The sequence below is a fragment of the Homo sapiens genome, chromosome 1, assembly GCF_000001405.40.
Source record: "Homo sapiens chromosome 1, GRCh38.p14 Primary Assembly".
NCBI classification, from domain to species: Eukaryota; Metazoa; Chordata; class Mammalia; order Primates; family Hominidae; genus Homo; species Homo sapiens.
The window spans coordinates 243,107,141-243,121,532 of record NC_000001.11 but is presented as its reverse complement, the minus strand read 5'-3'; the positions used below and the strand labels follow the sequence as shown (position 1 = coordinate 243,121,532).

The following is a 14,392-nucleotide window of genomic DNA, read 5'->3' as shown; positions in this document are numbered from 1 at the left end:
CTTCTCACTTGCTTTTCCATAGTGTCTACTCGGTGATGAAAAGCAGCATTTCATGGCCAAGACTTTCAGCTGTTTGGCAAAGACCATCATGTCCAGCATATGGAGGATCTGTGAACTTTGCCACGTCTGCTTCCTGTTACCAGTCTGTCTATGTTTATAGCCCAGAGTCTTCCCTTCGAGAGAAAAAAAAAAATCAATTTACCCTAAATTTTAATTGCCCTATAAGACTTCATAATATGAACAGCATTTTCAAAAAGGCACAAAGAAAAAAATGGTACAACCACTTTGGAAAACTAGAAATTCCTTATTAATGTACACCTACCACACAACCCAGCCATTCCACTCCTAGGTATTTTACCCAAGTGAAATAAAATCATATGTCCACAAAAACACCTGTACACAATGCTTATAGAAGCCATATTTGTTATAGCTGGTAACTGGGAACATTCCAATGTTCACCAACAAGTGAGTGGATCACAAATAGGATGTATCACAAATAGTGAAACATTCATAAAATGAGATTCCGTTCAGCAATAGAAACGAACATGCTACTGACACACACAGTAACATGGGCCGATTTCAAAAACGTGCTGAGCTAAAGCAACCGACCCAAAAAAGGGCATGCTTTATGAGTCAATTTATGTGAAATTCTAGAAAGGACAAAACACTGATAGTGACTGAGAACAGATCAGTGCTAGTAGGGTGGGAGGTGAGAGGAAATTGCCTACAACAAAATCACAAGCGAGTTTTTTGGGCATGGCGGCAGCTATTCACAGGAGTGAGTACATGTCATGAAACTCACCAGGTACATTTAAAATGATTCTTTTTATCATATGTAAACTATTTCTAAATAAAGTTGATCCATGTTAAAATGGCATGGATAGTTCTCTGTAACTTTGATGCACATAATTACTTCCTCAAACTGCTTTTTGGGGAACATGTCACCTCTTTCTCCTGCATTGCTGTACTGATTCTTAGCTCTCCAAAGCATCCTATTACTAGGAAGTGTCACTGTGACTTTTCCAGAGCTACTGCTTTCCTCTCCAGGGTCAATTTAGGAATCAAGCAGCTTTCAGAGGGAAGAAGTTGACTTTCACAGGACAAAAGCAAGCAATGGTCATTGTGAAGGGCCATCATTGAACTGTATTCCTTTTCATTTAGCTCCAGCAGGTGTAATAAAGTGTGCTAACAGACTGTGGTCAGCTTGGGTTCCGTAGTCTACTATTACCACTTGGAGAGATCCCTGGTTCCTCATCCACACCACCAACAGATGAGCACTAGGCTGACTGCTGAACATATATGCGGTCATTTATTTAAGTATCTCTATGATCAAGCATATTAGGTAATCATCATCTATATATTCACAGGAATGAATATAGTCCTTGTCCTTAACGAAGAGGAAGTTCAAACCCTACCACAAGAGGCAAATACATAATTTTAACACAATTTGTGAAAAAGTTTTCAGCCCAAATTGCTCCCTTCTACCTAGCACTAGGCTTAAAGACTGACCAAACTGGTATTGAATAAATGTTTATTGGATGGATGGATGGATGGATGGATGGATGGATGGATGGATGGATGGATAGATGGATTAAAAGGAGCAAGCAGGCCGAGCATGGTGGCTCACGCCTGTAATCCCAACACTTTGGGAGGCCAAGGCGGGTGGATCACGAGGTCAGGAGATGGAGACCATCCTGGCTAACATGGTGAAACCCCGTCTCTACTAAAAATACAAAAAAGTAGCCGGGCGTGGTGGCGGGCACCTGTGCTCCCAGCTACTCGGGAGGCTGAGGCAGGAGAATGGCGTGAACCTGGGAGGCAGAGCTTGCAGTGAGCTGAGATCGCGCCACTGCACTCCAGCCTGGGCGACAGAGCGAGACTCTGTCTCAAATTAATTAATTAATTAATTAAATAAAAGGAGCAGGCAGAATTCTGATCTCAGTTGTGTCTGAACTAAGATTATGCACTTGGGGCTGGGCACAGTGGCTCACACCTGTAATCCCAGCACTTTGGGAGGCTGAGGCGGGTGGATCACTTGAGGTCTGGAGTTCGAGACCAGCCTGGCCAACATGGTAAAACCCCATGTCTACTAAAAATACAAAAATTAGCAGGGCGTGATGGTGGGTGCCTGTAATTCCAGCTACTCAGGAGCCTGAGGCAGGAGAATCACTTGAACCTGGAGGCAGCGGTTGTGGTGAGCCGAAATCATGCCACTGGACTCCAGCCTGGGCTGGGCAATACAGTGAGTCTCTGTCTCCAAAAAAAAAAAAAGAAAAAGAAGATTATGTACTTAGTTTGAAGGAAAAGGCTTCAGGGAGCCCCCACTATTACAGATTCTGTCTACAAATCACATGGGCCTTTCCTTGGCCTCCTCTCTGGAAATATAAAGTTCCTGCAGAATCAGCAATTTCTTAGTAATTCAGTAGTTTGGTCAGATGTTCCCTCATTGGAAGGAGTGGCAACAACCCTGAAGGACACCAAGTGCTAGCAGGTAAAAGGGCAGACGACGGGTGAGCGGGAAGGTGGGGAGGCAAACTTAACTCATCCACAGCTTTCTGAGAACAGCTGGGAGGGTAAGAGGAGGTGAAGCTGCCTACTTTCTTTTGATATTTCTAAGTACATGCCCCCAGATCAGACCTCAGGTCACCGTATCAAATTATAATATTTGGCTGATGTTCTCTAGAGACTCCTTTGTTTTATGTTGTTTTTCCAGACATGCAGTTCCAGAAGAGTCCACTGTGCTTGCCACCATGGAAAACTGGCCAATGGCCTGAGTGGGATTTACTTTTAGCCAGGTTGTGCTAAGCTGTATGAAAGCAAATATAAATTTCAAAAAAAGAGCCGGAAGACAAAAGTACTGAGCCTCATGGCTTGGATGCAGAAACTGATATTTGTATCAGGAATCTGCTCTGTTGGAGAGAAACTGAAAGCTCTAACCTATTAGATCTCAGAGGTCTCCATATTTTGCTTCTCATGAAAGCACACTAAATGCACAGTCAGTATTTTAAAATGAGCCACACAGTGGAATATTACTCAAATATAAAAAGAAATGAAGCACTGATACATGATCCAACAAGAACGAACCTTGAAAACAGTACGTCAAGTGAAAGAAGCCAGCCACAAAAGACTACAGATTGTATGATTCCATTTATATGTAATGTCTATGAGGGAAAATCTGTAGAAACAGGAAACAGACTAGGGCTGACTATGGCTGGGCATGGGGGGTAGAAGTGGGAGGTTAAGAGTTACGGTTAAAAGACACAGAGTTTTTTTTGGCATCATGAAAAGATTCAAAATTGATTGTGGTGATGGTTGCACTGCTTTGTAAATACATTAAAAACCATTGAATTGGCCGGGCGCGGTGGCTCACGCCGGTAATCCCAGCACTATGGGAGGCCAAGGCGAGCAGATCACAAGGTCAGGAGTTTAAGACCAGCCTGACCAATATGGTGAAACTCCGTCTCTACTAAAAATGCAAAAATTAGCCAGGCGTGGTGGCACTCGCTTGTAATCCCAGCTACTCAGGAGGCTGAGGCAGGAGAATCCCTTGAACCCAGGAGGCAGAGGTTGCAGTGAACCGAGATCGCACCACTGCACTCCAGCCTGGGCGACAGAGCGAGACTCCATCTCAATAAAACAAAAAAAACCAATGAATTGTACAATTACAACAGGTAAATTATTGCCTATATATTTATAACAGGTATGTGAATTATCTCTCAATAAAATTGTTAACAAAAAAAGAAAATAATGAATGATGCATCTTGATATGGTTTAGCTCTGTGTCCCCACCCAAATCTCACTTTGAATTGTAATCCCCATTACCCCCACGTGTCAAGGGCAGGACCAGGTGGAGGTCATCGGATCATGGGGGCGGTTCCCCTAAGCTGTTTCGTGGTAGTGGGTGAGTCTCACGAGATCGGATGGTTTTATAAGAGTCTGGCAATTCCCCGTGCTTGCACTCATTCTCGCTCTCCTGTCACCCTGTGAAGAGGTGCCTTCTGCCATGGTTGTAAGTTTCCTGAGGTTTCCCCAGCCATGCAGAACTGTGAGTCAATTAAGCCTCTTTTCTTAAAAATTACCCAGTCTCAGGTATTTCTTTATAACACTGTGAGAATGGATACATGTCAGGTGAAGACGCAACCGGTTACGGTGCCATGAAAGTGGCCAGTTTTGCATTTATTTGCATTCCTTCTTGCCTGCATGTCCTCTAGATTTTCCTTTGTATTGGTTTTAACATGCTATTGGTTCCCTCATTAATTAATGAGTTAAATAAAATCTTGGCTATATGTGTTCGTTTTTTTTTTAAAAAAGCAAATGGGATATTTCTCATGAAGAGTTTTAGTTTATCAAAATGAATCATACTGGAAGAACTGGAAAGAGTATTACTATCGCCACTCAAACAAGCAGCTACAATGTGCTGACACTGTATTGGGTCCTTCAGTACCTCATTTAATCTTCACAATAACCCAGACTCTTACACAAGAATTCTTAGTCCTATGTTATAGAAGAAGTAGAGGCTAGAGCCAAATAAAATACTCTAGGTTACAAAGTAAGGGAGAGAGTCGAAATCTGAACCCTGGTCCAACTGACTTCTTCAATCCTCTTTACTTTCAGTCATAAAAAGACAACATATTGTAATTATAGTAAAAAGCTAATTGGTGGTTAGGAATCTTGCAGCTAAACTTAATGTGTTATTGGTTTTGTGCAAGTGCTTTCAGCTGTAGCCTCAGTATTTGTAAAATGGGGTGGAGGCGATGTTGAGTAGTTGAGCTCTAAGGTATCTTCTTGCTGTATTAGTGGCTGTTCTGTGGACTTCAGCTATTGTTCTCTTCGCTGTCTTCCCCCAGATTTCTGGAAAAAATGTTTTGTTAGCTCTTTGTCAGTAATTCTGCCTCTCTTCCTGTTCTGCTTAATGAGTGACTCCCCAGGTGTTTACTCTTTCGTCCAGAAGTTTTTCTTCTTTCAGCTGCTTCTCCCAGAAATGTTCAGTCCTATTGCTTCACCATAATGTTTTGCTCATTTCACTTCTGCCCACGTAAAGGCTGCCAGTGATTCAGGCTGGATCAGTATATCCTGGTGATTATGGTATCATTTCCAGGAAAAGGGCCAAGCACTTACCGAACCCCTTCGTTATGGCAGGTGCCGTGTGGCCAGTGCAGTATTGTGAAAGTTTGTTTTCCCCATGTTTCTCCCTTTGGCTAACCCAATTGCTCATGCATTGCGGGGAGAGATGTGGCAGGGTAGAAAGCAAAACCCACTGCAGTTCACTCTGGTTTTGAGATTTTCAGGACCAACGCGCTTAGTAGAATGTATATGAGTTTTTTTGAGATGGAGTCTCACTCTGTCGCCAGACTGGAGTGCAGTGGTGTGGTCTCGGCTCACTGCAACCTCTGCCTCCAGGGTTCAAGCGATTCCCTTGCCTCAGTCTCCCAAGTAGCTGGGACTACAGGCGTGCACCACCACACCTGGCTAATTTTTTGTATTTTAGTAGACACGGAGTTTCACCATGTTGGCCAGCATGGTCTCGATCTCCTGACCTCGTGATCTGCCTGCCTTAGCCTCCCAAAGTGCTGGGATTACAGGCATGAGCCACCGCGCCCAGCCTAGAATGTATATGATTTTTTTAAGAGAAATGAAAAGGAAGCAGATTCTCATGCTTTGATAGAATGTCTTAGCTGGATGTGAAGAAAGGATTACTTCCACACTAAAAAATGAGGATCCTAGGTCCCCAGAGAGGTCACCGCAGAGCCACTGGGGAGACAACGTCCCGAGAAAAAGCTGCAGCAGAGTGTGCCTGGGCAGCTGGGGCTGCGGGCAGCCTGGGAAAGAGGCCCCTTGGCCTGATGTCCACATGGAAGCAGCAGGGACCCCTAGGACTCACGGGTCAGGCTCCCGGGACAACAGGCTCTCCAAGGTAACTCCTGTGCAGAGCTTGACACCGTGTGGGAGTTTGTAGCATATCTCGGAGGGGGCAGTGGGATACCTCGAAAAGATTGAATTCAAGCATCTTCCCAGTCTGCTGTGAAGGGGAGTTTGAAATAAAAATTCAGCTGGTTTAGAGAAAATGTGATATTTTGTGCATATCCAAGTTTCTGTATTGTGGATTGATACATAAATATATATATGCATATGTAAAGAGAGATAGCTGTTTATATATATTTATATAGATCTATCTATAGCTATACCTCTCTCTGCATATATATACATAACTCTAAATATATACGTGTGTGTATAGATAGATATACAGATATATGTGGAGAGAAACAGAGCCTATATCTAGGTAATCTAACCTTAACCTTTAACAAAATACTGATGTAGTTCTTTTTCTTTTTTCTTTTTTTCTTTTTCTTCAGAGGCAGGATCTGGCTCTGCCACCCAGGCTGGAGTGCAGTGGGGTGATCATAGCTCACTGTAGCCTCCACCTTCCTGGGCTCAAATAATCCTCTCACCTCAGCTACCAAGCAGCTGGGACTACAGGCATAAAACACCATGCCCATCTAATTTGATTTTTGTAGAGGTGGGGTCTCACTATGTTGCCCAGGCTGGTCTCAAACTCTGGAGCTCAAGCAATCCTCATGCCTTGGCCTCCCAAATTGCTGGGATTACAGACGTGCACCACCGTACCTGGTCTGTGAGGCAGCTCTTACTGCCATTTTCTGGGGTGAGGAAACAAGCCCAGGCAGATTTGGTTATTTACTTCTCGCCCCAAGGCCAGAGGAAGCAGAGCCAGGGTTTCAGCCAAGGTCACTTCCTTTGGGACAATCTTGCAAATGGAGGCCAGGCAAGGTGGCTCACACCACTAACACCAACATTTTGCGGGGGGTCTAGGCATCCAGATCACTTGAGTCTAGGAGTTTGAGACTAGCCTGGGCAACATGGTGAAAACCCGTGTCTACAAAAAATACAAAAAAATTAGCTGGGTATGTTGTTACACACTTGTAGTCCCAGCTACTTAGGAGGCTGAAGTGGGAGAATCACCTGAGCTGGGAGGTCCAGTCTGCAATGAGCCCTGATCACATCATTACATTCCAGCTGAGGCAAGAGTGAGAGCCTGACTTTAAAAAAAAATGAATAGTGCCCCACTTTCACTCCCCGAAGTGTTTGCATTTGGTTAACAAATTTTAACTTCATCCACATTTGATGACCACAGCGCTCTCCATCACTTCCTGCTGCCTCATTTTCGAAAGCAAAGAGAGTAGGAGGAACCCCTGGTGCTTGGGGCACATGCCCTGCAGGGTGCATGCCCTTTACAAAGTCATGGGAGCTGCGGCTCCAGGAGTCAGACATCGAGCAGCTTGGAGCATTTGGCTTCCTTCCTTTGCGTGCCTGGAGCATTCACAGAAAGCCTGCACAGCAAGCGAGAGAGTGCTGGGGAGGGTGGAAGCTGTTTGGATTAGGGTCCCCAGGGGTTTTGTGGTTCAAAGCAGGTGGAGCACATTTTGAGGGCCTGATGATGTATACCATTTAGGAAGCCATTTAAAAGACAAAGAATACAAAAGTATGAATACAAAATTTGGCAGTAAAGTGAATATTTAGAGACTAGAAGTCACAACAAACCAAAAGTTTCAAAAAGCTGGGGGGAGAAAAGCCACAAGATCACCAAATCCAGGAAAAATAAATCTCTACAATTTTTCCTGGATTTAAAAAATTTTATTTTCAATTGACAAAATTCTGTATATTGTTGGCAACATGTTGTTTTGAAATATGTGTATATTGTAGAATGGTTATTAAATTGAGCTAATTAACATATGCCTTACCTCACATACTTTTCATGTTTTTGTAGTTCAAACATTTAAAATCTACTCTTAGCAATTTTTAAGAATACAATTATGTTGGCTTTTTTTTTTTTTTTTTTTTTTTTTTTTTTTTTTTTTTTGAGACGCAGTCTTACTCTGTCACCCAGTCTGGAGTGTAATGGCCCGATCTCTGCTCAATACAACCTCCACTTCCCAAGTTCAAGCGATTCTCTTGCCTCGGCCTCCCAAGTAACTGGGATTACAGACACGTGCCATCATGCCTGGATAATTTTCGTATTTTTTTTTTTCAGTAGAGACCCAGTTTTGCCATGTTGGACAGGTTGGTCTCGAGCTCCTGACCTCAGGTGATCTGCCCGCATCAGCCTCCCAAAGTGCTGGGATTACAGGTGTGAGCCACCACGCCCAGCTCAATATATTGTTATTAACCAGAGTCACCATGTTTTACAATAGACCTCTTGAACTTATTTCTTCTATTTCACTGAAATTTTGCATCCGTTAACCAACATCTCCCCAGCCACCCAGCCTCTGGTAACCACCACTCTACTCTCTGTTTCCATGCAATCGACATTTTTAGATTTCACATTGTATAACAGTGAAACAGCAAAAGAACATAACTAACTCCATTATTGTTTAAGGGGCCTTCACCCATTCCAGCATATAGGCTAGGATAATTTTAGAGCACGAGATAAAACACAAAAACAGCCATCTGAGATTAAAGGAGAAGTATGTAAACTACATTTTGTTAAAGATTTATAGGAGTGGAGCACAGTGGCTCACACCTATACTCCCAGCACTTTGGGTGGGAGGATCACTTGAGTCCAGGAGTTCAAGACCAGTCTGGGCAACATAGTGAGACCCCATATTTACAAAAAAATGGAAAAATTAGCCACACATGGTGGCGTGTACCTATAGTCCCGGCCACTGGGACTGAGGCAGGAGGATGCTTGAGCCCAGGAACTTGAGGCTGCAGTGAGCCATGATCATGCCCCTGCATTCCAACCTGAGTGACAGACCAAGATCCTATTAACAATAAAAAATAAAAAATAAAAAGATTTATAGGAGCATTGTGACCTGACCAAAAGCTAAGACTTTCCCCACCTTCTAGGGCCCTTACTGGCACCCAGATGTCTGTGGTCAACAGTCACCTATTGATCCCATGCCCCTCCTCTTCCTTCTGCTCTTAACATAAAAAGAGACTGAAATTTATCCTGACTTAAGGTGGCACTTTAGGATGCTATTATCTTCTTGGTTTACTGGCTCTCTGAACAAACCTGGCTTTTGTCCCACCAACACTTTTTTTTTTCGAGATGGAGTTTAGCTCTTGTTGTTGCCCAGGCTGGAGTGCAATGGCAAGATCTGATCTCTTGGCTTGCTGCAACCTCCACCTCCCAGGTTCAAGCAATTCTTCTGCCTCAGCCCCCCAAGCATCTGGGATTACAGGCACGTGCAACCACGCCTGACTAATTTTGTATTTTTAGTAGAGACGGGGTTTCATCATGTTGGTCAGGCTGGTCTCGAACTCCTGACCTCAAGTGATCCACCTGCCTCAGCCTCCCAAAGTGCTGGGATTACAGGCGTGAGCCACCACACCCGGCCTGTCCCACCAACTCTTGTATCTCATGTTTGACTTTTGGTGAGTACCTGAACCTGGGTTTGGTTACAACACATAAATGAGATCATGCAGTATTTGTCTTTTTGTGCTTGGCTTATCTGACTTAGCATAATATCCTCCAGGTTCATCCATGTTGTCACAAATGACGGAATTTCCTTTTTTTAAGGATGAATAGCATTCCACTGTGTATATATGCCGTACATCCCACATTGTCTTTATCCACTCATCTGCTGCTGGACACTTAGGATGCTTCCATATCTTGGCTATTGTGAATAGTGCTGCAATGAACATGGGAGTGCAGATGTCTCTTCAACGTACTGATTTCACTTCCTTTGGATAGATACCCAGTAGTGGGATTACTGTAGCATGGCAGTTCTATTTTGAATTTTTCAAAGTATCCCCATACTGTTTTGCATAAGGGCTGTAGTCATTTATATTTCCAGCAATAGTATTGAAATATAAATAACTATACAAACTTATAAATATAAATCATCTCCACATCCTCTCCAACACTTGCTATCTTTCGTCTTTTTGATAATAGCCATTCTAACAGGTATGTGGTGATATATTATTGTGGTTTTACTTTGCATTTCTTTGATTAGTGATGTTGAACTTTTTTTTTTTCATATACCTATTGGCCATTTGTATGTCTTCTTTTGAGAAATGTCATTTCCTGTATCATCTGGCTATATTCTCTTTGCTGGCCCCAACATGTGACGACAATTTTGTAATATCATTTTCCATGGAGAGAAGAGAAAGATACTCAGTCTTTCCTCCGGCGCAGTTGATCAAGTTTGTTTTTTATGGTAAGACTTCACACATAGGTGTACTTGCTATTTATCGTATTGCTATAAGTTTGTGCCAAAGAGGCACAGGAGTTCTGATGAATTCTATTTTCTTTCACTATTCCCATCAGGAAAGAAAACTGATGAATGGTACATTTATAAATGTTTATGTTGCATTCACAAGCATATTCCTGGTGAAAAACTTACTTTTGATGAGACATTAATAAAAATCTGCTTCTCTGTTTACAGTATTAAGTCAGGTGATTGAAAGGTTATTTACCAAGAACTTCAACTAGACTTCTTAACAGCAACAAAAACTAGAATGCAGAGGACTAATTTATATTGTTTATGGATGTATATTTATGTAGAAGAAGTAAGAAAGCAGATGTGGGGATGATATACACTAATTTTTTTTTTTTTTTGAGATGGAGTCTCGCCCTGTTGCCCAGGCTGGAGTGCAGTGGCACAATCTCGGCTCACTGCAACCTCTGCCTCCCATGTTCAAACGATTCTCCTGCCTTAGCATCTCGAGTAGCTGGGATTAGACGCACTCGCCACCATGCCCAGCTAATTTTTTATTTTTAGTAGAGATGGAGTTTCACCATGTTGGCCATGCTGGTCTCGATCTCCTGACCTCAAGTGATCCACCTGCCTTGACCTCCTAAAGTGCTGGGATTACAGATGTGAGCCACTGTGCCCAGCCCATACACACGAATTTTGAATAGAGTTATATCCAGGGATGGAGGGAAAGAGAGGATGATGCACACTGGGTGAGGCAGTAGCTGGACTGTAATATTTTGTTTATTAAGTAAATAGCATGTTTACTGAAAAGATGGGTTTGAAGCAAATAAGATAAAATATTAACAGCTGTTTTATCTTGGTGGTATACCACACAATTTATCATTTTCTGTGTCTTTTGTATGCCTGAATTGTTTCACATTTTTAAAAACTGTTTTAAGATATATTTCCTTTTCCCGTTCATTATGTTTAAAGAATGCCAATCAGTTAAAGGACTGAAATTGAGAGTGAATTTCTGGTATTTCTGATCAAGGAGAGTAAATCATTGGATCAACTTCTCATAAACTTGGTGGAGATAAATGTAAAAAGAAAAAAATGACGCTGAACTTCTTTTCTGAAACTGAGCTAGCACTTCCGAAAAGAGCAAAATCACAGAACCCAGATCCATTAAGCTTGTTCTTTGGCTCATGCAATTACATACACGAGTTCTTACATCCAACATTCAGACCTCTGTATCTCCTGCTTTGCATTCAGGAACATTTATAGTCAATGAATATCTGAATACCTAATAGAATTACTAATGGTGATTTTGGAATTCCATTTTTCTAAGTTTTTTGTTTGTTTGTTTGTTTGTTTTAATACAAAGTTCCTTTGGTCAATGACTTAGCTGTGGTCTCGCCTAGATACAGGGAATGGACTTCTCCAAGTCCCCAAGTATCTCTTGTGAGTTCATCACACGGTTACATAACATATTTCCCTGGCTTATTGCCTTAATTGGCCTCCAGAATTTTCTAATTTGGGAAAGTGTTCCCAGAAAACAAGATAGAGGGATTGGGAAGAGTGACACAGGGAAGGAAGGAAGGCAAATGGGAGTGCAATCTCAGCTTGTTCACTCCTGGAGGCAGCTGAGGCATGACTGCGCAGGGGCTCCTAATGAGCCACGGAGTGACTTCAGAATGGACGGCCTGTGCGCCTGAAAGAGGGAGGGAACCTTTATTCATCAATTTCCAGCTCCGATTCTCCAAGGGGTGTTCTTGGGGCATGAATTCTCTTGTGCGTTGGGATGATGCTTGTGTGAGTGCTGGGCCGATTGTGGCAGGTGTTCCATGCTGTGGTGTCAAAATGCAAGAGATATGCTGCAGCAGAGGGGAGGTGCTGGGAGGTTTCATCTGCTCGAAGCTGCTTGCTCTAGCAATAGCTAGAGTAAGAGATGGACGAAGGGTATGAGCCAGGGCCTAAGTTTTGTGCCATCAGGTGATCCTGAGAAAATGGCAATCTCCTGGGTTGTGTGAAACGAAAACCTACTGCTCTGCCCTTCTTCAGTCACACAAGAGAAGACAAATCCGTGTGTTGTTCCTGTCACTCAGGGGGCAAAACCGCACATCAGGGTTGCTGACTTTTAGCACTGAAAATTATTATTTTTTATTATTATGTGTTTGAATCAAACAATATTATATGAAATAGGCCATGTCCTGGTTTTCGGAGAAAGCAGTAAATCCATTCCAGAGTCCCTCGGGAGTGTCCCAGTGCAATGCATTTGGAGAAAATGCTCTTCATGAAAGGCCATTAGGGTTATTACATCCTTAATAAAATAGGCAAAAAGAAGGCATTTTTCCCCTTTTACATTTTATGTTATAAGTGTGTGTTGGCCGGGCGTGGTGGCTCACGCCTGTAATCCCAGCACTTTGGGAGGCCGATGTGGGCGGATCACGAGGTCAGGAGATTGAGACCATCTTGTGAATGGTGAAACCCCGTCTCTACTAAAAATACAAAAAATTAGCTGGGTGTGGTGGCGGGCGCCTGTAGTCCCAGCTACTCGGGAGGCTGAGGCAGGAGAATGGCGTGAACCCGGGAGGCGCAGCTTGCAGTGAGCTGAGATTGCGCCACTGCACTCCAGCCTAGGTGACAGAGTGAGACTCCGTCTCAAAAAAAAAAAAAAAAAGTGTGTGTTATAAGGATAATGATGATGCAAGGGCTTCATTAGGACAAAATGTTGCCTAAACTGCATTTTTTTTTTTTTTTGAGACAGGGTCTCACTCCCATCACCCAGACAGGAGTGCCGTGGTGTGAACATGGCTCACTGCAGTCTTGACTTCCCTGGGCTCACTTAGGTGATTCTCTCACCTCAGCCTCCCAAGTAGCTGAGATTACAGGCGTGCACCACCACACCCAGCTAATTGTTCATAGTTTTGGTAGAAACTGGGTCTCACCATGTTGCCCATGCTAGCCTCAAACTCCTGACCTCAGGTGATCCACCCTCCTCGGCCTCCCAAAGCGCTGAGATTACAGGCGTGAGCCACCATGCCTGGCCAAAACTGCATTATTTATCTCGATTTTCAACTTTGGATTCTCTAAGTAGCCATGATTCACCCTCACTGGATTTGGAGAAAGCAAAAAAATACGTGAAAATATTTTTTATCTTAGACTCTAAGATCATAATGAGAAGCTTATAACTAAGGCTGTCTTACAAACACCTGCGATAACCTGCTAGAAATGTCAATATCAATATACACGCCATGTCTGCACCTGTCTAGTTACAACTGTTGGCTGCACATCTGGGGAAACCGAGGAAGAATACACCCCAAAGTGCGGGGAGCCTGATGAGTTCACCAAACCCCAGGCTACCAGGAGGAAAGGAAATCCCTGGAGCCTTGAGTTAGGTGGTTTTTAAATAAAACAGTGGGCAGAATTATTTTGTGCTTCAATAGGAAATGTATGGGCATCCCCTCACCAAGAGGCTCTATGTCATCCTGCTGAATTGCTTGAAAAAAGAACCCAGGCAATCCACGCATGACAGAGTCATAATGTTTTGTGAGAGAAATGAAAAGGCGTTTGGGGTGTGTTGGGACTGACATCTGGAAGGGAATCACGTGCGGCTCCGTACTCTATTCCCGTGACTCCAAAATCAGAGACGGTTGGCAGAAACAGACCACTCACCGAAGCCAGGGGCGGTGCCAGGGGAAGACAGGAGGCTGATATTTGTTGCTGAACACCCATCATGCGCCACATAGTGAAGTGGAAAGTGGTTGCTCACTTCTAGGTTTGTCTGTCTCAAAGTGAGTGTCCCGCTGCTCCAAACCACGCAGGGTCCGGCTACCAGCTGCGCCCGCTGCTCTCCAGACATTGAACAGGGATCTCGGCAGTCTCCAGGCCTCAGGGTCAGCCTGGTCGTAAGGGTCTCGGACTCAACCCTGGCAGCCAGCTGGGATCGCTTCCAGGCAAGGGTCACAGGACATTACATACTGTCCAATTTTATCTGAGTCAGCGAAAGAGCTCATGTTGCTCAAGGAATTCTACAGGGATTTGCCCAGAGTGGAGTAGGCTAGAATGAAAAACTAGCACATCGAAGGAAGAAAAATAACTTCAGTGTTTCCAAATTGTGTTTCTGGATACCTGGGATCATGAGACTCTAGGAAAATCTGATCGGCTTTTTGTTGTGTTTCATCCCAAAGCAGCCGGCTGACTAAGAGGATGAGACCATTACCGTGAACCGCAGCAGC

The 14,392-nt window shown here is 43.5% G+C and overlaps 1 annotated feature.

The window, feature by feature from the left end:
• Nucleotides 6,989-7,740: an enhancer, noted in NCBI's record as "OCT4-NANOG-H3K27ac hESC enhancer chr1:243277095-243277846 (GRCh37/hg19 assembly coordinates)". NCBI's record gives its function as "activates a minimal SCP1, AML or CMV promoter by ChIP-STARR-seq in naive H9 embryonic stem cells {active_cell/tissue: H9 hESC(naive)}" and the evidence as "EXISTENCE:reporter gene assay evidence [ECO:0000049][PMID:30033119]".